The 25,123-nt window shown below is 45.7% G+C and overlaps 1 long non-coding RNA gene across 1 annotated transcript in view, besides 3 other annotated features; it reads right to left on the reverse strand.

Annotated features, from left to right (window-relative positions):
• Positions 1–25,123, reverse strand: part of LOC105379380 (uncharacterized) — a 55,679-nt gene that overhangs the window by 945 nt on the left and 29,611 nt on the right. The window lies entirely within an intron of this gene.
• Positions 1,117–1,627: an enhancer, noted in NCBI's record as "H3K4me1 hESC enhancer chr8:37462486-37462996 (GRCh37/hg19 assembly coordinates)". NCBI's record gives its function as "activates a minimal SCP1, AML or CMV promoter by ChIP-STARR-seq in primed H9 embryonic stem cells {active_cell/tissue: H9 hESC(primed)}" and the evidence as "EXISTENCE:reporter gene assay evidence [ECO:0000049][PMID:30033119]".
• Positions 6,504–7,053: an enhancer, noted in NCBI's record as "H3K4me1 hESC enhancer chr8:37467873-37468422 (GRCh37/hg19 assembly coordinates)". NCBI's record gives its function as "activates a minimal SCP1, AML or CMV promoter by ChIP-STARR-seq in primed H9 embryonic stem cells {active_cell/tissue: H9 hESC(primed)}" and the evidence as "EXISTENCE:reporter gene assay evidence [ECO:0000049][PMID:30033119]".
• Positions 7,054–7,603: an enhancer, noted in NCBI's record as "H3K4me1 hESC enhancer chr8:37468423-37468972 (GRCh37/hg19 assembly coordinates)". NCBI's record gives its function as "activates a minimal SCP1, AML or CMV promoter by ChIP-STARR-seq in primed H9 embryonic stem cells {active_cell/tissue: H9 hESC(primed)}" and the evidence as "EXISTENCE:reporter gene assay evidence [ECO:0000049][PMID:30033119]".

Here is a 25,123-nt window from a genome sequence, read left to right on the forward strand (position 1 = left end):
ACCATGTGCTAGGTACCGTCCTTAGCCATTGACGGAAATGAACCAACACTGAGATAGATAACATAGACTCCATTTACAGATAAGGAAATCAGGACTCAGAGAAGTGACGCAGCATGCCCAAAGACACACAGCTTATGAGGGGCGGGGCAGAAATCAAACTCAGGGCCACCTTAGTGCTAAGTTCTTTCCACTGTGTGAATAGGTCACACTGCCTCCTCGGTGCTACCAGTGCTGAGAGCCTCACGTATGCACACACCATTCATGTAGAAACATATACACACACACACTCATGCACACACACTCATGTACACACATATACACATGCACACACATACTCATGCACACACATACACATGCATGCACCAACACACATGCACACACACATGCACACACCTACACAGTTACACGCACGCACACACATATGCACCCACACACATGCACACGCACATGCACACACCTACACACCCACATGCATGCACACATGTACGCATCCACATGCATGCACACACACACACTCATATACACACATACACACACCAGTAGGCTCACATTGCCTAACCAGGACCCACAGACCCGACACCAAGGCTAGGACTCTGAACTCTGAAACCAGATCACCTGGTTCAAGCCTTGGCCCAGCCTCTGGCTAGCTTGGTTGTGTCTCTGAGCTTCAGTTTCCTGTCTATAAACTGAGGATAATAACACCTACCTCACTGGGTTTGAGGGATGATGAAATGAGTTACTATTTGTAATGCACTTAGAACACTGAGCAAGCATGTGTCATACACGCAGGAGTGTGACAGAGAAAGCGCAAATAGGCCACAGGAAGCCAGGCCAGGGGTCATCCAGGTCTCCATCTCAAAACAGGAGGGTCCAGATGAAGCCCTCACCGCTTTTCCAAGCCAAACATCCTGGAAAGGGGAAACAGCCCAGCTCAGCTTTGAGCGACACTCTCCTGAGCAAATGGCAAACACTCCCGGGCTCTCAGAGGCGGCCCCCAGGGGCTCTCCGGGGACACAGGGGCTTTGTCCCAGCTGCTTTCAAAAGGTTGAACTGCAGGTTCTAAGCTGCTCAGTGTCCAGCCCAGAACAAGGCAGTGTCCAGTAAAACAGCCTTCAGAGGGAGGGGGCCAGCAGGGCTCTGCAGAGCCCTGGCCACAGGAATGCCCCAGACCCGGGGTGAGCTTGAGAACAGACACCCCCAGTGAGGGCAGCGGGGTTGGGGGGGCAAAGGGAAGGAGATGGGGCAAAGGAAAGGAGGCAGGGTCCTGAGGGTACCCCCTAAAGGAAACTGTGAGCCAGGCCTTCCTGAGTCCAGGGCCCCCATCAGCCGCTGGTTCATCAGAAGCCTAGGCTTCTAGTGTAGCCATCGCTCGAAAAATATGCATTGCACCTAGTAAGTAACTTCTCCACTGGGCTCAGTGGCTCACACTTGTAATCCCAGCACTTTGGGAGGCTGAGGCAGGTGGACCTCTGGAGCCCAGGAGTTCCAGACAAGACTGGGCACCATGGCAAGACCCCATCTCTATAAAAAATACAAAAATTAGCCTGGTGTGGTGGTGCCAGTCTACTCGGGAGGCTGAGGCAGGAGGATTGCTTGAGCCCAGGAGGTCGAGGCTGCAGTGAGCCATGATCATGCCACTGCACCCCAGCCTGGGCGATACAGGGAGATCCTGTCTCAAAAGAAAAAAAGTAGTATTTTCTCACCCCTCATGCCCCTCCCCTCCTCCCACCCTTTTGAGTCTCCAATGCCTATCCTTCCACATTCTGTCCCTGTGTTCACATTATTTAGCTCCCACTTATAAGTGGGAATATGCAGCATTTACTTTCTGTTTCTGAGTTAGAAAATATAGCTTTTAAATTGGGCTCTTCTCTTATTCAACTATCAGGTAGGGAAGACACAAACAAGAGAGCCCAAGACAGACAGAGACAGAGATGGACAGAGAGAGACCCCTACCAGCATGCAGTGAGTGCTGGGGTTTTCCTCTTAGACATTTGGGGCCTTCTGATTTATTAGCAAACATCTGGATTCCTGATTTCCAGCCCAATGTGGAAAGGAACTGACAACTCATGATCAATTCAGTCCAGCTCAGCAAATGCTCACTGGGCACCTGCCATGGACTAGGTCTCTAGGGAGGCACAAAGATGAATTAGACATGGCCCTTACCTCTAACAGCTTACAGTCTAGTTGAGGAGACAGAGAGCAAATAAATTATTATAAAGGAGATGCAGTCACTGCTAGATGAAAGATTCAAACGAAATGCCACGGAAGCCCAGGAAACAGAAATGTGGCAAGAAGGCTGAGAAGTGCGTGTGTTTGCTTTCCGGAAAGTGATCTGGAATATTCATCAAAAGACTTAAACAATGTTCATAACCTTTGACCCAGAAATTCTGCTTTTAAGGGTCTGTTTTGAGGACATAATCAGAGGTATGCATGAAGATTTATATGCAAAGACATATTTATGTCGTTTTTAACAGAAAAACATGGGGAAAAAATCACATGTACAAGAAGCACATTATATGTGAATAGGGTGAAGAGGGGAAGTCTTTCAAGCAGAGAGAAGAGAATAAGCGAGATGTTGTGGCAAGAGCAGCAGCTTCACGGACTAAAAGGAGGCCAACATAGATGGATGAGAGAGGGAGAGAGAGAGAGAGAGAGAGAGAGAGAGGGAGGGAGAGAGGGAGGGAGGGAGAGAGAGAGAGAGGTGTAAGTGGAGATCAGAGAGCGGGATGGAGACCAAACGATGCAATCTTAAAGTTAGGGTTCTGGTGGCCATCCTCAAGGCCGTGGGAAAGAAAGCTTTGCCATATTTTCCATGGTGGGGAGGCATGATCATATCTGTGTTTCCAAAAGAGCCTCTGGTTGCCCCATGGAGAATGCATGCTAAGGCATCAGGCACCTGTCTAAGTATTGTACGTGTATTTGCTTATTTAATTCTCCTCATCTTAGGAGACAGGGAAGCTGAGACTCAGAGAGGTGAAGCAACTTCCCTAAGGTTGCACAGCTAGTAACAGGCAAAGCCAGGCAGTCTACCCCCAAAAAACTTAACTCCTGTGCTATCTGAAAAGAGGGTAGAGTATGGATATGGGCAGATCAGTCAGGAGCCACTGCAGTGCCTCGGGTGGGAGAAGATGGAAGCTGCGAGATAAGCAGACTGCAAATGAAAAGAAAGGCAAATCAGAAGGACTTGTGATAGAAGAGGGTGATAGGGAGTGGGGAGCGGGAGACAGAGTGAAAGGGAGGGGCCAGGAGTAACCTCCAGGCCTCTCGCTTGCACTTCTCTGATTTGGAGGAAACTGAAGTGTGTTAATTACAGAGACACACACACCATGCACACCCAGGAGACATAGCTGCGTATTGGGCAGAGAGAGGGCAAGAATCAAAGGAAAGATAACAAAAGGAAAGCAGCGGCTCTCTTTCAGTGGTAGGATGATGAGTTATTTGTATTTCTTCTTTATACATGTCTATATTTTCTAAATTTCTTACAACAGGTGTATATCATTTTCATAATCAGAGTAAAATTAGTTAAACCTTCAAATTATGTGTCAGGATCTGTACAGTGTTTATCCTGCGATGTCCTTGGTTGTGCTGTAGGGATGTAGGCTATTTCCATCCACAGGACACTGTCTATAGGCACCTCTTGAAGTGTATGACCATGAGGGTGTCAGTGTCAGGCAGGAAGTGACAATCACCCTTCCACAAGCCCCCTGGGCTCGCAACCCACCCAGCTCTTCAAAAGCTACAGAAGCCCAGGGATGGCAGGCTCCATTCAGAGCCAGAGGGCAGATGTTTGAAGTCAATTCTCAGTAGGAATTCCAGACCTCTCCGAGAGATCTTAGCTTCCTGTAGAGGAGCAAGTAACACAAGTCCAGCAGGACCTAGAACCAACCACACAGTGGCTGAATGACAGATGAATTCACTGTGGCCCCTCAGGGGTGGCAGGAGGGTCTTCCCTGGGCCCCTGAGAATCTCCAAATTCCTGCTTGGCTTCCTCTCCAGGTGCAAGCCCAGGCCTGGCAGGGCCAGGTGGGAAAAGGGCAGCTTCCTCGAAGACTGGGTGGGAAGAAGAGAACACACCATTCTTCTAACACCATCCCCTGCAGAACAGGAGGGAGGGTCAGAGCCTTGGGCCTCAGACAGAGACTCCAAGAGGTCAGGAGAACCCTGGCCTCTGGCCGAGTGATCAGGAGTCTGGGGGGCACCCACAGTATCCCAGGGGAGTGAAATGAGCTCCTTGTGACACTGTGGGGGGTGGGAGGTGCTAAGGAGATAGGGGCTCCATGAGACCCCAGAAGAAGATGGGAGTCTGCCTGGCAGGCGCTTCCGCAGGACACCAGCTGCCTTCGCTGCAGTTAGAGGGACTCCTGGTTTCTAGAAAGAGTAGCGGTGGCTGCAGAGTCAGCACAACTTAGTTCAAAATCAGGCTGGGTTCCATGTTAAAAAATGGTGATTCTGGCAACCATCTCACAGGGTTATTGAGGTCACAAGACCCCAAGGGGGAGCCACTGTGGTTGGCATATGGACTCATGCAGTAGAAGTATATTCACACACTATCTCTATGGGGTTTGTTGCTGGGTAATGTCTCACAGTGGCCTGTCCACAAGACCAAAGATTAAGCACACACATACAATATGCACAGGTGTCAATATTCACTTCTTTAAAACTTTTTTAAAACTTTGAAATTTTTTTCTTTTTAGACAGAGTCTCACTCCATCACCCAGGCTGGAGTGCAGTGGCTCAATCTCCGCTCACTGCAACCTCTGCCTCCCAAGTTAAAGCAATTCCCCTGCCTCAACCTCCCACTGAGTCCTAGGACTAGAGGAACCCGCCACCACGCCCAGCTAATTTTTATATTTTTAGTAGACGGGGTTTAGAGACGGGGTTTCACCATGTTGGCCAGGCTGGTCTCAAACTCCTGACCACAGGTGATCTACTGGCCTTGGCCTCCCAAAGTGCTGGGATTACAGGCATGAGCCACCACGCCCAGCCTGAGTTTTTTTTAAAAGATGAGGTCTCATTATATAGAAATCCTCCCACCTCAGCCTCCTCAGTAGCTGAGACTGCAGGCACACCCCACTGCACCCCGCAATATTCATACTTATAGTTGAACACATAAACATAATCATAACCACTTAAATACGCATATACACATGCACAACCTGTTTACTCCCAAACATTCTTGTAGTCACATGTAATTCATCATAACTTGGGACAATTTGTAACTTATGAAAGGCTTGCCACCTGAGCCTTAGCTCATGTGATTATCAAGGATTGTCTGTCTCATCATGTGTACTTTCCAAATGATGAGATAGATAATCTAATTATTACTATCCAGTTCTTAAAGGCAATACGACTGAACTCAGTGCAACTGAGAGACTCCCAAAGACACACAGTGAGTAGTTGGCAGTGTCCGATTTAAATCCAATTCCAAACAAATTCTTCTCCACTCTGCCACATATGTACCCATGACATGTAAACACTTGTATCTCCTACGCAGCAAGTTGAAGTTCTTTAGCTTCCCAAAAGAATGCTTGGAATCAGCCCATCAGGTGGGAGTAGCTATGAATGAAGCTGAGAGTCAAATAGAGAGTCACCCCCCTCCACCTTCAAGCAGACACACACAGCTGAGACTCAGTTCACCCTTCTTAACCCCCAGTCTTTATCTGGGACATTCTTTCCTCCCAGGTCACCATCTCCCGATTCCTCTCCCCTAACCAACCCCAGCCCACACACTTGCTCTCTTCTCTGATGTCCCGCTGTAGTCTGTTTTTTGCAGCTTAGCCTTCCTGGTTCTCTAGTTGCTTCTCTGTGCTTAAAATGTTAAGAGCTAGGTCTCAAAAAAAAAAAAAAAAAAAAAAAAGTAAGAGCCAGGGCCCTGCGGTCAGCCAGATGCGGATCGAAGTCCTATCTCCCACTCTTCCTAGCTGTGTCCCTGGATATGTTGCTTAACCTCTCTGAGCCGACTCTCTTTGCCTATAAAAGGAGGATATTGATAGTACATACCCCATAGTTATGAGAACTCTATGTAAAAAAAAAACAGCACCTGACACAAAGCAAAAGCTCAATAAATATGAACAATGAATATAGTTCTCTTTTTCCAGCAAATGGCAAATCACTGGGAATTGGACATATTCTTTTTGGTACTCCCTAAAGGTCCTGGCGCAGTGCTGGGCTCAACCAAGTTATTCATCAGCTATGTCAAGATGAGTTCCAACTCAGTCACAGGCTAGCTGTGGGACTTGAGGTGACGCATTTCACCTCTCTGTGCCTCAGTTCTCTGAGTTGGTGGAGCTGCGTCAAACTCACTCCTAACCCAGAATACTGAGTGGACTGGTGAACTACACTCTCAGCTGCAGCTGCAAAAGGGAGGGTTAATTGCACCAGAGGGCATGACTCAGACCTGGGGTTAGATCGTGGCTCCACCTTGAACAAGTCATGCATCTTCTCCAAGCATTCATTTTCTCACCAATAAAGTGAGGATGGCGATGACTACTTCATAGTACTGTTATAATAATTAAATGGCATAATGCCTATAAAATTCCTGGCACGTGATGGACGCACAATAAATGGCCTTGGTGGTGGAGGTTGTTATTATTATTATTATGCCCAAGAGTGAAGGAGGGAGAAGGTACCGAGAATTCAAGCCACAATGGCTATGACAGCAATGACTTAGCAGAAGAAATGGATAGTAAAAATGTGAGAAAGTGTCATTAGGCAAATCCCAGGGTTACTCAGTGTCAATGGCCTGAGCCCCACGCCCTTGCCAGCCCCCACTCCCCCAGTGAGCAGAAGGAAGCTAAGCAGCTTGTCATCCTCTGTTTGTCGATGGGAAGATCCACAGTGCTGTCTGGGTTTTAGCTCCAGCTTCTCCAGTAGAGGCGCCGGCCAGGTTAGGCACAGAGAGGCCGCTATGAAGCACGGCGCCTGTCGGGGCTAAAATCAAAACCCCTGTGCCCCTGGGGACCTGTCCGCCTGCCTGAGGCTCATCCCCAAAGAGTGTAACTGCCTGTCACTGCCCGCAGGAGACCAGCGGCCTTCTGGAGTTGCTGGGCTGAATGGGAACGGCCCAAGCTTGTCTGAGAGCTGTCCCCCAGCCAGGAGGCCCACGACACATCTGTGACCCTCAGTAGGAGGATCTAAATGGAGGAGAGGGTTAAAAGAATCTCTCAGGCACCAGAAGAGGAGTCAGGCGTGAAAGAAACCCTTTTCCCAGCTCTGAGCACTTCCAAAGCCTGCCCTGACTCCTCCCTCCCCTGAGGCCACACCACAGCTGAGGCCGACTCAAGCCTGACTCCATGCCAGCCCTCAAGTGTCGCCTTCAGTTTGGGGAACTCAGCAGCTCCAAGGTTCTGACCTTCCTGCCAGGGCCACAACAAACACCTGTCACCAGCATGAGTGCTAATGACAGGCCTGAGTGAGTGGCATTAAGGTTAACACCTGCATTAGTGACGTGCCCTTCGAAGGTCAGTGGTGCCTATTTAAGCAGCCTAGGGGGAGGACGGAGGTAGAGACTAGCCACCATCCAATCTAAGCGGGTGGCTCTATTACTTGTGCTAAAGCTCTCCCCAGTCATCCATGTAATTGAAGTAACTCAGGGGATTTTTCTCTCCTTCACCCTGGAGCAGAGCAGGAAGAGGGGGACAGGAAGGAGGCATTTGCCTTAAGTGGCCCTGCTGACTTGCTGCTGGGCAGGTGGGCTCTCCTTGCACTTAGAGGAGTAGGGGGCTTGTTGAGGCTGACGCCATGGGTCCTGGAAATGTTCTTCTGCCATTAACTGTGCCCTAAGCCCTGAGTCACAGTATGAGGTCAAATCTCTCATCCACTGCTCAGCTCCCAGGCCTGGGCTGCTCTTGTCTGTTCACTCAAGCAAAGCTTCTCCCCTGGAGTGCTCCCAGCTCAGCTTCCAGGCCTTCTCATCCTCACTGCCGCAACCTGCCCTTACCACCCTCAGAGAGCCCACCTGTCTCTGTTTTGGAACTTTAACATAGCTCATCACTTTGGGACAACAGGAGAGATTTAAACAAAAGGCTTGCCCAAAGCAGAAATAATCACCAAAATGCAGGTCTGAGACTAAACAGGAGGAAGCACTGGGCATGTTTATAAATGCCACATGCCACAGAGGTTCTTTAGGAGAAGTAAGCCCTGATCATTTTCCTTCTAGTCATTTAAGAGTCGAGAAAAATATATGAAGGTTCTATTTCGTGCCAGAAACTGAAGTAAGTACTGGGAGGAAAAAAAACACAGTGCCCCACAAAGGGAACTAAGATAGAGTTGGGTGGGTAATGTGAATATTTAAGCATCCCTGCTCTGTGGCTTTGGACAATTCCCTCAACCTCTCTGAGCTTTCTCATTTATAAAACCAAGGTGATAATAAAGCGAGGATTACATGAGCTAATAGCCTTGGTGCACAGTTTCCTGAGGCAAAGGAAACATTGAAAGACACCAAAACAGGTGCAGACAAGGAGTTCTGGAAGAAAAAAGGAGGGCGAGACTGTGGCCCATGGGGAGAAGGAGGAAGGCTTCCTGGAGGTTGAGAAGATTTGGATGCGAGGCAATGAGGATAACACATTCCCATGGAAGGAACAGAGAAATCAAGGACTCCGCAGATGAAAGAAGCCACGACAGGCTGTTCCTGATGACAGCATGCCCGGATGGCCAAGGCAATGACCTAATCATAAGAGGAATTTATACAAGGATAGCTGCTCCATTTCAAGAAAATAGAGCAGGTGTTTCAGGAGGTGGGGGGGTAGTAAAACTCCTTAGGCTGATTGCTTAGGGGTCTCTGCATGTGATAAATGCCGGGTGGTGTTATGATGGTAAGAAGATGTCAGGAATAAACCAGAGACCTCCCTGCAGATGCCATGGCCGGATGGGAAGACTGACAGTGTCTGAACGTCAGTTGGCCCCAGTGTCGTGGGATTCTCCCAAAGCCTGCCTCAAAGGGCCCGGGCACCAAGCACTTCTGTCAGCAAAACAGAGGAGGGAAAAACAATGACTCAGCAACTTTCAGAGTTTAAATTGCACCCTTTGTCTCCCACCTGCAGTTTTATTACCCATCCCACATAGTATATTTCTCCTCTTCTCACAGGCCTTTAACACACCTCATGAGACCATTTTCAAGATGGGGAAAACTGAGCTACAGTCACACAGCTTAGCTCAGTGCAGAAACCAGCAGCAGTGATCGTGGTAACAGGTCATGTTGATACTTATTGCACCCTAGCTTATCACTAGATATGTGCCAAGGGTATTAGTTCATGTCATCCTCACTTTATTATCATCTGTTTTGTAAATGAGAAAACTCAGAGAGGTTGAGGGAATTGTCCGAAGCCACACAGCCAGTTAATTGGTGGAGCAACTCTCAAACCAGCCTTTTTTGACCCAAGATACCAAGGGCAGTTTTTATCTGCTATACCCAAGTGCAAATGGGCTCAAAGGCCAGGATCTGGACTGCGGCTGCATGAGAGGGACAGTGCCCCCCGATCAGCGAAGGCTGCAGGAGTGTGTGGGGAGTCCAACATACTTCAGAGATCACCTCCCATCTTTGCAGGAGAGAGAAGTTCTCAAAGACAGGCAGGGAAGAAAGCCCCAGGGTTTAACCCTGTATCAGTCAGTCTAAAGGTGGATTTCAGAGTGGGGAGGGCCATGAGAAAAGAAGGGAAATCAAAGCAGTAAACCTTGCCCTGCACAAATGCAGGTAACCAGGAAGGCAACGAGGCCAGCAGCTGTGCAACCCTCCACTCATATTTCATAGGCGAGATGACAACAATTAGACATGTCACTCCTGAAAACCAGAAACTCAAAGCAATTTGAGATGAACTTTCAGAATGATGAAACAAATGGCCATCTTTGTGTTATACACCAAATAAATCACACCAAAATGATAGTTGTAATCCCCAAAAGTACACAGAGAATTGATTTTACTATGACACTTATCATGATGAACGGGTGCACCCTAGGACGGAGCATCTTAAGTGGCGGCTGCTTAACCCCTGTCTTCCCAGGTCTGGTCCCTTCCCTGCAGAGTCCCCCAACTGTTCTCGAGGCACCAGCACACAAAGCCTGATTGCCAGGCTGATCCCTGGCCCTGTGACATGGGGCCCACATAGGTGGGCACACCAGCAGCTTCCAAAGCATTGGGTGAGTCCAGACCAAGCTCCCACCTAAGACAGAAAGGGGGCCAGGCATGGTGGCTCAAGCCTGTAATCCCAGCACTTTGGGAGGCCAAGGCAGGCAGATCACTTGAGCTCAGGAGTTCAAGACCATACTGGCCAACATGGTGAAACCCTGTCTCTACTAAGAATATAAAATTAGCCAGGCACAGTGGCATGCACCTGTAATCCCAGCTTCTCAGGAGGCTGAGGCAGGAGAATCATTTGAACCCGAGAGGTGGAGGCTGCAGTGAGCCAAGATCATGCCAGTGCACTCCAGCCTGAGTGACAGAGCGAGACTCCATCTCAAAAAATAAAAATAAAGTAAAATAAATTTTAGAAAACAGAAAGGGGCCTCGCTGGCCAGCTGCATCTGAGTGAAGGGAGGAAAGACCTGATGTTTTCCATTAATTGCTTACTTAATCTTTTTCTTTTAACTTTTATTTTACGTTCAGGGGCACATGTCCAGGTTTGTTATATAGGTAAATTGCATGTCATAAGGGTTTGGTGTAGAGATTATTTCGTCACCCAGTTGATAAGCATAGTAGGCAATAGATAAGTTTTTCAATCCTCACCCTCCTCCCACCCTCCACCCTCAAGTGGGCCCAGGTGTCTATTGTTCCCTTCTTTGTATCTATGTGTCCTCAGTGTTTAGCTCCCACTAATGAGTGAGAACATGTGGTACTGGTTTTCTGCTCCTGCATTAGTTCACTTACGATAATAGCCTTCAGCTCCATCCATGTTGCTGCAAAGGACATGATCTAGTTCTTTTTTATGGCTTCATAGTATTCCATGGTGTATGTGCCTGCTGGGCATCATTACTTACTGCTTGTTTTCAGACGGATTCATTGAGGCTCAGAGAGGCCAAATATTACCCAGAGATTTGAATAAAAGTCTTCATGATTCCAGATGGGTTCTCTTCCCACCACATTCTGCTGCTAAGATCCTTCCCCCGACTCTGGGCTGGGATTCATTCATTCATTCATTTATTCAATCAATCATGGTCCAGCATTAGATGTCAGACACTGGGTCAAGGATGCAACAGAGAATAAGACACTATTTCTGCCTCATAGAGCTCCCCACAAGTACGGAGGGGAGGGGCAGACCATCACATAAATGAATGAAAATCACAATCCTGGTTCATTCTTCTGGGAGACATGCATGGGCTGTGACAGCATCGTAACAAGGAGCTGCTGGTTCAGGAAAAGCAGGGGAGCCTTCCCCGAGGAACTGACTGGACTGAGATCTCATGGATAACATGGTGCCAGTCAGATGAAAGGACAAGGACGCAGTGGGCACCAGGCCTGGAGGCAGCTGGCCAGGAGCAGAAAGAGGAGGTAAGGAAGGCAGGTGGCAGAGGAGGCCAAGGAGGCGAGGGGAAGGGTGGGGGGCTACCAAGCCTGCATAACAAAGGGCTTCTCTCATCGTGAAGCTATGGAAAGCCATCACCAGGATCAGGCTGGGGAGACATGAGCAGACTTATACTTCAATAGCTCACTCCAGTCCGACTCAGGGACCCTGCCAAACCTCATCAGGTCGTGGGGAGGCCGAGCTCGTTTCAGATCGGAAGCTGAGAGTGCAGAAAGCCTTGCATCCTTACAGGAATCTTTGCCTTCTGCCACCCATAGGTCAGAACAGTATGGCTTACCATGAAAGCTGCTCTAAGACAGAGAACAGAGAGTAAATAGAAGATGTTCTATAAAAGAAGCTATAAAAATCAACTCAGGACAAAATTAAAGAGAGTTAATAATAAATAAAATAGTAATAAATAAAAATAGGTGACATTTCCAAGTTATATTGTAAACAAAGTCTTTAGATCTATATTGCCATGTTCTCTATTTTGTTTTGTCAGGAGATTTTTTTGTTTAGTTGTCTAAAGTGGTTAGTCCCATCCCAGTTCTGCTTGGGCAAAAGCCTTGACTTCATAGAACTTCAGTCTTTCCTTCAACTCTAAAATATCACGATCTTCTGACACACAGAGATTCTATAAATGATGTACATGTTTATATCAGACAGTGAGTGCTTGTCAAATTCAAGCTCTGGGAATATATGATCAGCCCAACTTCAGAGAGCAAATAACAGGATAGGCCTTCTAGCCCCCATGTTGCCCAAACACAAGCTCACTGGGCTCCAGAAGCTCACTGGCTTAGAGGAGAAGACATATTTTTTAAGCAAACAGCCATAACCACTTGCCCCATGTTTGCAAAGATGAGGAGTAATGGGGCAGTGATCAGAATCTAGCCATTGTAAAATTTTAAAAGGACAAAAAGCAGGAATTAGGTAATCACTTCCCAGTAAGTTTCTTCTCTCTTGAATTTTCTAAGTTATAGGAAAACAATGAATCAAACTAGAAAGGAGAGAATTTTTTCATAATGTTGTTCTCCTGCCCAAAACACATTTAAAGGGGAACAGTGATCACAGTATAACTCAGCAAAACCTAGATACAAGCTCCTACCAGATGCCTTTAAAACAGTAATATCCAGATTTAAGTAGTAAAGGATGAGAACACATTTAAAGGGGAGAAAACATCTCGCCAATCCCCAGGGGGTTGACTTAAATTATTTTACAGTAAAGTTAATATATCCAAATACTTATCTAAGTATAAATCCATATGTTTCTAGCACTTATGCAAATATAAAATAAAAACAAACTTGCAGAATAAATGCAATTAAAACTACCAAACCTATAAAATTCAAATTAACAGTATTAGTTTACTATGATGGATCATGAAGCTTTACAGAAGCTAGGTCTCTGGTGTTGAGCTTACCAACAGAAAGATATCATTGTTCTGGTTTTCCCTCATTGTCAGCTCAATTCTTTTGACTTTAACATGATGGACCATCATTTAATCCAGAGGTCAGCAAACATTTTCTGTAAGAGCCAGACTGTAAATATTTTAGGCTTTGTAGACCATACTGTCTCTGTCACAAACTACTCAACTCTGCTGTTCCAGGATGAAATCAGCTATAGACAATACATAAACAGATGGGCCTGGCTGCATTCCAATAAAACTTTATTTACTAAAACAGGTGCCAGGCAAGATTTGACCAGAGGGCCATAGTTTGCTGACTCTAGATTCAATCCATCATCTTTATTATGTCATCATTGGGCCTTTTGCCTTTGAACAACAAATTCACTTTTAACCACTGATTTATCATTTTTATGGAACAGTTAATTCAATAATTCACTCCAAAAGTCAACCTTGAAAAATAAATTAGCAGAAAATTTTCCTTCCCTATTTACTATTCAATAATTGCTAAAGAACTTGTGTGTGTGTCAAAGAGTTACCTGCACTCCCTTGTTTATTATAGCACTATTCGCAATAGCCAAGATACAGAATCAACCCAAGTGCCCATCAATGGATGAAGAGATAGAGAAAATGTGGCATGTATACACAATGAAGTATTATTCAACCACAAAAAAAAAAAAGAAATCCTTTCATTTGCAGCAACCTGGATGGAACTGGAGGTCATTGTGTTAAGTGAAATAAGCCCGGTGGCTCACGCCTATAATCCCAGTACTTTGGCAGGCCAAAGCAGGCAGATCACTTGAGCTCAGGAGTTCGAGACCATCATGGCCAACATGGCGAAACCCCATCTCTACTAAGAATACAAAATTAGCCAGGCATGGTGGCATGTGCCTGTAATCCCTGCTACTCGGGAGGCTGAGGCAGGAGAATCACTTGAACCCGGGAGGCAGAGGCTGCAGTGAGCCAAGATCACGCCAGTGCACTCCAGCCTGAGCGACAGAATGAGATTCTGTCTCAAAAAAAAAAAAAGAAAGAAAGAAAGAAGCCAGGCACAGAAAGACAAATATCACATGTTCTCACTCATATGTGGGAGCTCAAAAAATGTGGATCTCAGGGAGGTAGAGTAGAATGGTGGTTGCCAAAGTCTGGAAAAGAAGTGGGGAGGTAGAGGACAAAGAGAAGTTGGTTCAGGGGCACAAAATACCCTTAGATAGAAGGAATAAGTTCTATTGTCCAGTATTACAGTAGGGAAATTATAATTAATGATAATTTGTTGTATATTTCAAAATAGCTAGAAGAATAGTAAGTTCTCAACACCAAGAAAAATGTTTGAAGTCATAAGCACCCCAGGTACCCCAATTTGATCATTACACATTTATACAGGAATCAAAATATCACCGGTACCCCCAAAATATGCACAACTATTACATATCAATTAAAAAATTTTAACAGAATTTGTGCAAACTGCTGTGCCTGGCATGCTGGCTCACACTTGTAATCCCAGTTTTGTGGGAGGCCAGGGCAGGAGGATCACTTGAGCTCAGGAGTTCAAGGCTAGCCTGGACAACATAGTGAGACTCTATATCTGCAAAAAAATTAAAAAATTAGCCAGGCATGGTAGTCCACACCTTGTAGTCCCAGTTACTAGGGAGGCTGAGGTGGGAGGATGGCTTGGGCCCAGGAGTTTGAGGCTGCAGTGAACCATGATCATGCCACTGCACTCCAGCCTGGGAACCTCTGGGTGACCCTGTCTCTAGAAAAAAATAAAGAATTTGTGCAAATGGATGGTTTTTTAAAAGACAGGATCTGAGCCATACACTCAGTCAGAGAGGGAGGGGTGCCTTTAGCTTCTGGGTACCTACAGTTCCCTGGAACACGTGGTGGCTCAGTTCCCTTGCTTCCTTTCTCTACTTGGACTACCTGTTGGGCAACAGGTGGTGACACCCTTTTACCCTCGTTGGACATGAGCATATTATTGAAGATGGTCAGCCTCTGCTATGTTCTCTTTATTTTACCATTTATTCATTCAAACAAGCCAATAAACCAATAATGATTCAGTACTTCCAACATGTCAGGCACTGTTCTGGGCACTTTAGATCTTCAGTGAAAAAAGACAAAAAGTCCCACTGTCACAAGTTTTATACCCAGTTAGGGAGGGTGAGAGGTGGAGCCAGACAGTAAAAATAGAAATAGTGTATTAATACATACATTGTATTTTTTTGAGACAGGGTCTCACTGTGTTGCCCAGGCTTGTCTGAACTCCTGGGCTCAAGCCATCCTCCTACCTTGGCCTCCCAAAGTGCTGGGATTACAGCTGTGAGCCAGCACACCTGACCAAATTATGTTATTTTAATGAGATCAAGTTAAAGTCTTTATTAAAGAACCTCAGAAACCACCATCTTTATCTCAGAAAATTATCTGTACTCGTGAAACATCATCCCAAAGAGAAGTGTTAAGTTTTCACCCTGGACAAGAATTCAGCAATGGTAGAGAGGGAATGCTTATTTTCTTTGGCCACTAGGACAGGTTGACCTAACAGGGGTCAGGCTTGCTCGCCAACACAGCAGACACCCCCTGCTGTCCTTTGAGGGGATCACTGAGTGCCCATGGGGTCCAAGCACAAATGCTCCAGGACTGGAGTTGGGCGACACTGGTTGGTCCATGCCTGTGACCTAGAATATGCTGCCATTGCTACTTAGATGGCCTCATCTTTGTCACAGCCCTTCACAGCATGGCCAGAGAAGACCAAAGCCAGCCTTGGAAGGCCTTGGTCAGGTCCTGGCTCTGCCAATGGTGACTCTGGACAAGTCAGCCACCTTGTTAAGAGTCTTGGTTTCCCCATATATAAATCTGGAATGACATAAATGCCTTTCCTGTCTTCCTCATAAAATTCCTAAGAGATCCAAATAAGGCACAGTGTGAAAGCACTTGAAAATTAACCTGCTGAGAGCTGGTTTGGCACCCCTAAAAAAATTAGGGTCCCTAGCAAGGGGATTTATGTTGACAAATTTAATAGCCTTGGTCCCCTCCAGACCACCTGGCCCCAGTAATTTGCACTGGGTTCCCAGTTCTAATCAGCCTTGTATCCATACAAAAGCTCTGTAAATGTAATGTGGCCATATTATTATAATTATTATTATATTATCATTACCTTTGCAATGTGTTGAAAAAACTACTGATGACCAAATCTCTAAGATGCTCACATAGTTGAATCCTCTTTACAAAAGAGAGCCCCTAATCTCTGTTCACATTCATCTTAACTTCACGAACATCATTAGTTACCAAGCCTGAAGATTTTGTTTCTCTTTTATTTTTTCCGGAAAAAATCTCTAACCTTTTCTAGAATAACAATATATATTATTCCCCATTATCTTTTGCTTTAATCAGTTTTAGGAAACTACTCCCCAGTCCTCATTTTTATTGCATTTCCTTCGGGGCTTTGGGAAAGAGAAAACAAAATAAAACTCCATGGCCCTGCAGACCATATTTCCAAAGGTCGTGAAGTTGAATATGAATGGATGAGAGAACTTCTCTCCTAAACATTCTCAAAATATGCTCCAAACAGACACACGCACTCATCCTATTCAGCAGGCAGGTGCTCAACCTCTACGGAGAGCACCGAATCAGAACACCCTGAGCAACATTCCTTCCAAAGCCCTTATTATAGATAACACTGCCCTACACACACATCACCATCAACAAGAGGCTTTACTGAATTTCTACTGAGTGACGATCACTCTACGACATACACTCTATGAACACAAACACGTAGGCGTCTCTTTATCTTTCTCTTTATCTATTTCTCCAAATGTCTCTGACCATAGACCAGTTGTTCTCAACCAAGGGCCACCCGCATCCCAGCTCATAAGCTCCTGGGGCAATAGCCTGAGGGTTTACAAAGCCCAACAATAATGTGGTTCCCAAGAGGAATAAAACATTGCCCTTCACCCTCCCCACCCCCAGCCATCAAGACACCCCACTCTCAGGAGGCAGGCACCAGCCAGACTGCCCCAAGAAAACAAGTCTCCTAAGATGACAACATTTTCAATTTGCAATTTGATTTTTTTCTTTAATATGTCTGTTGTGTGCTTTCCCCTTTGTTAAAGAGCACAAACCTTTCATTTTGCCGTTTATTTGTCTTGTGGCCGGTACAGTGAAAATGTATTGGCTTTTCAGTTAGCGATTACACATCATCACATGCCCAATTTATAACACCATGCCCCAAAGAACAGATGTAATAAAGCAAGGGCAGGAAATAGCAACCTTATAAAACAGAGCTGCCGACTCAAAGGTCTTTGCATGTGTGCAGGAAAGAAAATAGTGCCGACGCAAGGCCTGGGAACTTGTATTTTGCAAACGACTGCAGATGTTCTGGATGTGGCTCCAGTGGGTGGGTGGGACAGAGGGCAGAAAAAGCAGGAGATCCACTTTCCTGGCCCAATGACTATAGCCCTCCAGCCACAGGGCACTGCAGGGAAGGATAATTCTATCTTTGCACTTAGCCCTCCAAGAAACCCTATGTCCACCCAACCCAAAGAAAAACACTTTCAGGACCAACTTTGCAAGGTGAAGAATCCTCATGTAACAGGTCAGGCCACCTCTGCAGGCCTGTGGAGTTCTACCCAATGGTTGCAAGAGGTTCCCTAGGACTAGGGTCTTGCATAGAGCCTTCTGATGGCCACTTCCTACTGAGACCCCACTCTGTCCTTCTCAGAGACCCCAGACTGCAGGAAAGAACTACCTCAAAGACCCCAGTAAATATTGCCTTGGTTCCATGAGCATATGAACCAAAATTACATCACTTTCTTCTAATGTTACTGTTTCTCAATAAAGGCAATTAATGAAATGTAGAGCTCCATGTAACTTATTTGTACACCTGCAGTAAATCAGAAAAAGTCTTTTGTCAAAAGGAGGGGGCCTTTGTCTTTGGCTCAGACAACACAGTCCCTCCACCCAGGGCTAAAGGGCCTCCTCACCTTGACAATTCCACCAGGGGCCTCTTCCCTGCATTCACGTGGTCTCAGGCCTGCCTTCCACAGCAAGGTGTGGAATTTCATCTTCCTCTGGACCCAGGCTTATCTGGCTGAGGCATTTAGCTCTCACCCCAAAAGTCCAGGTCCCTGCCTGTAAACAGGGTGCAAGTTTTCCTGGAGACCAGGTGAGAGGAGAACACAGACAGAACGGAACCCTGCAGTGTTACCAGTGCTCCTGTCCTTCCCCTCTGTGTTGTCCCCAGAGCAACCTCCCTCACCTTCATTCCAGCCAGAGATCAAGGCAGTTTCACAATCCTTCTGCTGCCAGAAGATGTGGGGTCCCCAAGTCTTCTTTTTGTTTTTTCTTTCTTTTTTTCTTTTGGTTTTTTTTTTTTTTTTTAGAAACAGGGTCTCACTCTGTTGCCCAGGCTGGAGTGCAGTGGCCCTATCATGGCTCACTGCAGCCTCAAACTCTCGCTCAAGCCATCCTCCTGCCTCAGCCTCCTGAGTAGCCAGAACTACAGCCACGTGCCACTATGCCCAGCTATTTTTTTTTTTTATTTTTGTAGAGACAGGGTCTTGCTACATTGCCCAGGAAGGTCTCGAACTCCTGGCCTCATGCGATACTCTTGCCTTGGCTTTCCAAAGTGCTGGAAAACAGGAGTGAGCCACTGCACCTGGCCACCTGAGTCATCTTGTCTTACTCTCTGTCCCCAGCCATTCCTCGTCCCTCTACTTTCCATTTCTCAGAAGACCAGGGAAGTCCTCATGCTCGTCTCCTCTAAACCAGGCCCCCAACACCCTGCACTCAAACACCACCAGTCCTTCAATGCCCTGAACACACAACACACTCTTCCAGATGCTCAGACACTCATACAACCCACGCTCACACACACACATGCACGTACGCACTCACACACTCCCATCCACACTTGCACTCACACACGCACACATGCACGCACGTAGAGAATCCTGTTTCAACTCCTCCATCCATGCTGATCACAGAATTTGAACTCTGCACCACACTCTCCACCACCTCATCATTTTTGCCTGATAGTTTTATGTGTGTTAATCTCCTGTGTCTCCCCCAAGCTCTCCCCTAAACTCCATGAGGACAAGCCAGGAGTCTAGGCTTCCTCCATCCTTGGCTCCCCGGCATTTAGCAAAGGACTAAACCGCAGGCCAGGGATCACTGACATTTTGCGTTCACTGAGCTGAGAGAGACCCTGAAGATCACCAAGCCCCGAATTTCCTCACTCCAAACTAGACGCACTGATTGATTAATTGGTGCATTGATTGTGGCCTGGTGGATTGGCAGGATCTGAAGGCCAGAGTGTAGGACTACAGAGATTAGACATGGTTGCTGCTCTGAATTTGGCATTTCTGGGGCCCTGCTGCTGGACACCCCATGCTGGGAGGGTCACTAGGCATTGCAGTGGCCAGAACTGTATCCTGGCCTCAGACCAACCTAGGTCCCAGGCTGGCTCTGCCTCTGACTCACTCTGTGACCATCGGCAAGTTTCTCCAACCCCAGCTCTTCACTGTAAGATGGAAACATTAATAGGCTCCGTTTCACTGAGCTGCTGTGGACGCTAAGGGAGATAATATGGGCAGATCATTCAGCTCAGGGCCCATCACATAGTAAAGACCCCATACATGATCATTCTCCTCAGAGTTACAAATAAAAAGAAGAGGTAGCCAGGCACAGTGGCTCACGCCTGTAATCCCAACACTGGGAGGCTGAGGCGGGAGGATCACTGGAGGCCAGGAGTTCAAGACCAGCTTTGGCAACATGGCAGAACCCGCCTGTACAAAAAAAATTTAAAAATCAACCAGGCATGGTGCTGCATGCCTGTAGTCCACACACTCGGGAGGCTTAAGTGGGAGGATTGCTTGAGCCCAGGAGGTCGAGGTTGCAGTGAGCTGAGATCACACCACTGCACTCCAGCCTGAGTGGCAGAGCAAGACCCTGTCTCAAAATAAAATAAAATAAACATTAAAACTAAAAAATAAATAGAAATAAAAAGGTGGGGTGGTTTTGAGTTCTGGATCTGCCATCAGTTGCCTATGAATATTACTTTACCTCTAAGCTGGATCCTTTGTTTTGTTTCATTTTGTTTTGTTTTAGGATTAGTTTGTTTTCTTATTGCCAAAATGAAGATCATAAAACCTATTTCACTGGACTGTTGTGAAGGTTAAATAAAATTTCAGCTCTGCAGTACCCAGCACCTCCCACCTACCTTTAGCTAGCACCTGCAACTGGAGAGAGGAGCTGCCTCTCTAAGATCTCAAAGCATTTGTTGCTGCTCAGAGTGATTCTCAAAGCGATTCTCCCACTTTTTTTTATAAACCAGATCCCAGCTTGGCTCCGTAATTCCAGAGCTGGATTCTCATCCTATTTCACAACTTGGAAAAATTGAGCCATTATTGTCCTCACATCTCCTGAGAAAGATAGCGGGGGCTGTGCCAAGGATGACACACAGGCAGCCACAGCCGTGGGCTGAGCAGGGAAGGGGGGTTCCAATGCCCTCATCCTAAAGGGATGGGATTTTGGTTTACGGATTAAGAACCAGGGGTGTAGGCCAGGTGCAGTGGCTCACGCCTGTCATCCCAGCACTTTGGGAGGCCGAGGTGGGCAGATCACTTGAGGTCAGGAGTTCAAGACCAGCCTGGGCAACATGATGAAACCCCATCTCTACTAAAAATACAAAAATTAGCTGGGCTCAGTGGCACAGGCCTGTAATCCCAGCTGCTCAGGAGGCTGAGGCAGGAGAACCACTTGAGCCCAGGAGGCAGAGGCTGTGGTGAGCCGAGATCACGCCACTATGCTCCAGCCTGGGCGACAAAGGGAGACTCTGTCTCAGAAAAAAAAAAAAAAAAAAAAACCAGGGAGGGATGATTGAGGGAAACTTCAGAATACACTCATGGAATACCTTGAGAATCTGAATAAACAGCTTATTCATTTGTATTTTTATTTTAAAGTTTTTTTCTGATTATAAAAGTAATCATAGAAAATATAGAAAAGCAAATATATTTGTAACAACTAGGCATATATATATATATATATATATATATATGCATAACATGACTGTTAATACTTTTGCATATTTCTTTCTGGGCTGTCTTCTAGGAATATTTTAACATTGAGATCTCTGTATTAGAAATTTCACATCTGTTTTCCAGTTAGTGTTACATATTATTATACCACTCATTTCCCATCTGATTAGAAACCTCTTTAATGACATCATCTTTAATGACTCCATAAATACTCCTTCATTGGAGACCACTAATTTATTTAACCGTTCTCCCACTCTTGGCCATTTAACATGCAACCAATTTTTAACCCCAACAACCTTTGGAGCACCACGAGGTTCCGTTTGCAAATCACTGATCTGGACCTGAGGTGACCGGTCTGCAGCCCACGGCCCACATGTGTCTCCTCCCCACCGCCCCAGCTTCACAATGGGGCCATGATATAATTACAGGATGAAGAATCAGAGCTGCACCATGTTGCCTCATGGCTAACATATCCAGAATGTACATTTTAATGGCCAAAGAGCAGTGCTGTTATTCTCATGGACGTTATTCTAGTCAATAAGATAGGTGATTTAAGTTGTAGGGGAATCCGTTTTCACTAGAACTGTGTAAGATTTATTGAATGAAATATGACTCATAAATATTTTCTTTTCTTTTTTTCTTACCTTTGGTCTGGACTTAGTCCTAACTCTTTTGATGGTAAAGATCAGAAGAAACCTATTCAAACAAGCTCTGTAAAAGATAGGGTGGTTGCGGGGTATACAGAGGTCTCCAGGGAAACCAGGAAACATTGAATCAGGCCTCGAGAAGGGAGAAACCAGGGATTTGCTCACTCACTCCCTCACTCACGCATGATTTCTCTGCTCTTCTTGGGGTCCTCACTCCCTCCTCTTTCTCTCTCCTGACTGGTTTCTCTGCATCTCAGTTCCGAATATATTCAGCAAGCACATAGTCCCAAAATAGCACTCCTTGCCCCAACTTTACCTGGCCTTTCAGCACAGGCACCTAACACCAGCCAACAATTTCTTTCTGGTCCCTGGTTCAGATTTCCCAAAGAGAGGCTCTTACTGGCTTAGGTGAACGTTTTGTTCCAGTCCACATAAGGCTTTCTTGTTCTCTGGCCAGCCCACAGGCAGGCCAGTCCTGGCTCCCACACCAACACTGGGTCCAATCAGTTGTGACAAGCGAAGGCAGTGTCACATGGGTCCTGCTCACTCAGCAAAACGTGGGAGGACAGAAGATTCCCTAAAAAAGGAGTCTGGGCCAAGCAGGAGCCACTGTGTCTAATTCCTTCACCAAGAGCTATTAAGAGTGTCACTGAGTCAGTGATTGTATTTCCAGAAAGGTTCTAGAAATGCAGCCTTCAGGAATGTGCCCAAAAAACGCTGTCTGTTCCCCAACAGTCAGATGGACAAACAACATGGTTTATGGAAACCATAAGCTCTGTGTACCCTTTCTCAAGCCCCTGATTCTGGTCAGGAACTTTGAGGCTCCAGCAGGTTCTTCCAATCAGCCAGGACCTGATCTACCTGCAAGCTCATGGGAACTCCAGGAGCATCTTGGGGTTGGAGTGAAGGTGTCCTGGCAGGCATGGCTGCTGCCTCCAGGCTTCCCCAGGTCACAGTGCAGTCTTCTGGTCTGCAGGAGGCAGTGGTGGTAACTGAAAGACACTGGACCTCACACCCCAACAAAGATTTCATAAGCAAAACACAGTAAGACACTTGTCATAAGGCAAAATGTTGATACATTAAACAACACTACAATTAGAAACTTCTTATCGTAATAATATACCATCAAGAGAATGAAAAGGCAAGCCACAGAGTAGAAGATATGTGCTCTCCTCTCTCTCTCTCTCTCTCTCTATATATATATATATGCGACAAATATATTGTAACTAAAATATAGTAAGAACTTTTGAAAATAAATGTAATAAAAAGTGGACAAAAGACTTGCATGAGGGCTTGAAAAAAGAGACATTTAAATGGCTTGTAAGTGTATGAAAATATACTTAACTACAGTAGCTATTGGGGAAAGGTAAATGAATAAACAAAATGAGATACCACTATACCTCACCAGAATGGCAAAATAAAAATATCAACTGCCAATATCAACTGTTGAGGAAGAGTGAAGGTAACAGAAGCATGCTTCTGCCTGGAGGTGTAAATTGATACACCCATTTTGCAAACCTATCTGGCAGTGTCTATCAAAGCTGAACCATACATATACCTTAGGAATCAGCAATTCCATTCTTAGATATATGTCAAACAAACAGAAATGCCTGCAACATAAACAAGCATGTGTTGCAACTGGAAAACAACTCAAATGTCCATGAACAGTGGAATAAGCTGGGCACAGTGGCTCACGCCTGTAATCCCAGCACTTTGGGAGGCCGAGGTGGGCAGCTCACCTGAGGTCAGGAGTTCGAGACCAGCCTGGCCAACATGATGAAACCCCGTCTCTACTAAAAATACAAAAATTAGCCGGGCATGGTGGCAGGCACCTGTAATCCCAGCTACTCAGAGGAGGCTGAGGCAGGAGAATTGCTTGACCCCGGGAGGCAGAGGTCACAGTGAGCCAAGATCATGCCACTGCACTCCAGCTTGGGCAACAGAACAAGACTTTGTCTCAAAAAAATAAATAAATAAAAAATGACAGTGGAATGGATACATTAGAGTCTAATCATACCATGGGATATTGCACAGCAATGAGAATAAATGAATGGACTGCCGCTAAGTACAACGCCATGGATGAATCTCACAAGTGAGACATGCCAGACACAAAAAGTACACACTGAATAGTTTCATTTATGTAAAGTTCGAAAACAGGCAAAACTAATCTATGGTGTTAGGACAGAGGATTGTGGTCTTTTGGGGGTGGGGGCAGAGAGAGGGTATTCTGGGGTACTGGTAATGTTACAATTCTTGATCTTGGTGGCGGTTACATGAGTGTGTTCACTTTGTGATTATTCACCGAGCTGTACGTTTATGATTTAGGTAGTTTTCTAGATGTATATTATATATCAATTTTTAAATGTTCATTTTTTTGCAAAGGTAATTACTATACCATGTAATACATATAACTATCCCCAAACATTATTAAATTCCACGTACATGTATAACTCCTGTGGACTGGAGAGGTTAAGTGACTTCCCCAAAGTCACACAGCTTAGTTAATGGTGGACCCAGTCTCAATCCAGGTTTTAAGACTCCAAGACCAATTGTCTTTCTACTATAATGTTGCTTCCATTTATATATTAAAGCCTCACCCATAACTCCTATTCCTGGCAAGACTGATCAACTATGCCTCCACCTCACAGAAAAAAAAAATTAATATTTAAGATATTTTTTTAAGCCATGAACTAAACTTGATGTAATGAAAGCTCTCTAGTGGGCATTAGCCAAACTCAACACTCTTTTGCCTTGCATGTGTAAGTCATTCCTGCAGAAACACCTCATCAAGAAGGCACCAAACCAAGGTGCCCCCCTCCCACCAGCCTTCCCAGACAGCTGCTGCAATGCTGACCTCATGTCTGATAATATAGCCTTGGCAAGGAAGCTGTGTTGCTCTTCGCAGACCCATTGTTGCTTTAAGGATCTATTTGGTTCAACTTAAAACAAAAATAAAGAAACAACTACCAAACTGTACTAAATTAAGAGGACAGAGAGTAATCCCACTGGATTTCACTTGGACTTGATGTCCCTCTTGAGACTGTGGGTGTCTCGTGGGAAGGAAGAATAAAGAGATCTGTCCTAGGAAGAGTCTAACATCACAGAATTTTAAAGTTGAAAGGGACTTTAAAGTTCAGCTTCTAAGAGCAGAGAATAATAAAGACAATGCTAGAAAGTACCTCATAGATTCCAAAGTCTTTTTACATTTCTCCATTGATCTTCCAGGCAATCATTTCAGGTAAGATATTATACTCCTTTTAGAGGCAAGGAAATCAAAACTCAGGCAATTTGCAGAGTTACTAGTGGTGGCCTCTTATTTCTGGGCCCTGGCTGGTTGAGCTAAATTCTAAGCTCTTTCTAGCACAGCACATTATAAACCACACCCAGCTCACGGGAGACACCTGAAATTTGTCATCACTAGTTCTCAAGGAGCTTTAGAGTCAGAGACAAGTAAGATTCTAAGAAACACAACTGTTAGCTAGCCAGATTCTTGGGCTAAAGAGTTATGTTTAGCCCAGGAGTCTGGCTGGTTCCATGCTGAATGTCTGGATT

This window comes from Homo sapiens, chromosome 8 (assembly GCF_000001405.40).
Source record: "Homo sapiens chromosome 8, GRCh38.p14 Primary Assembly".
Classification (NCBI taxonomy): Eukaryota; Metazoa; Chordata; class Mammalia; order Primates; family Hominidae; genus Homo; species Homo sapiens.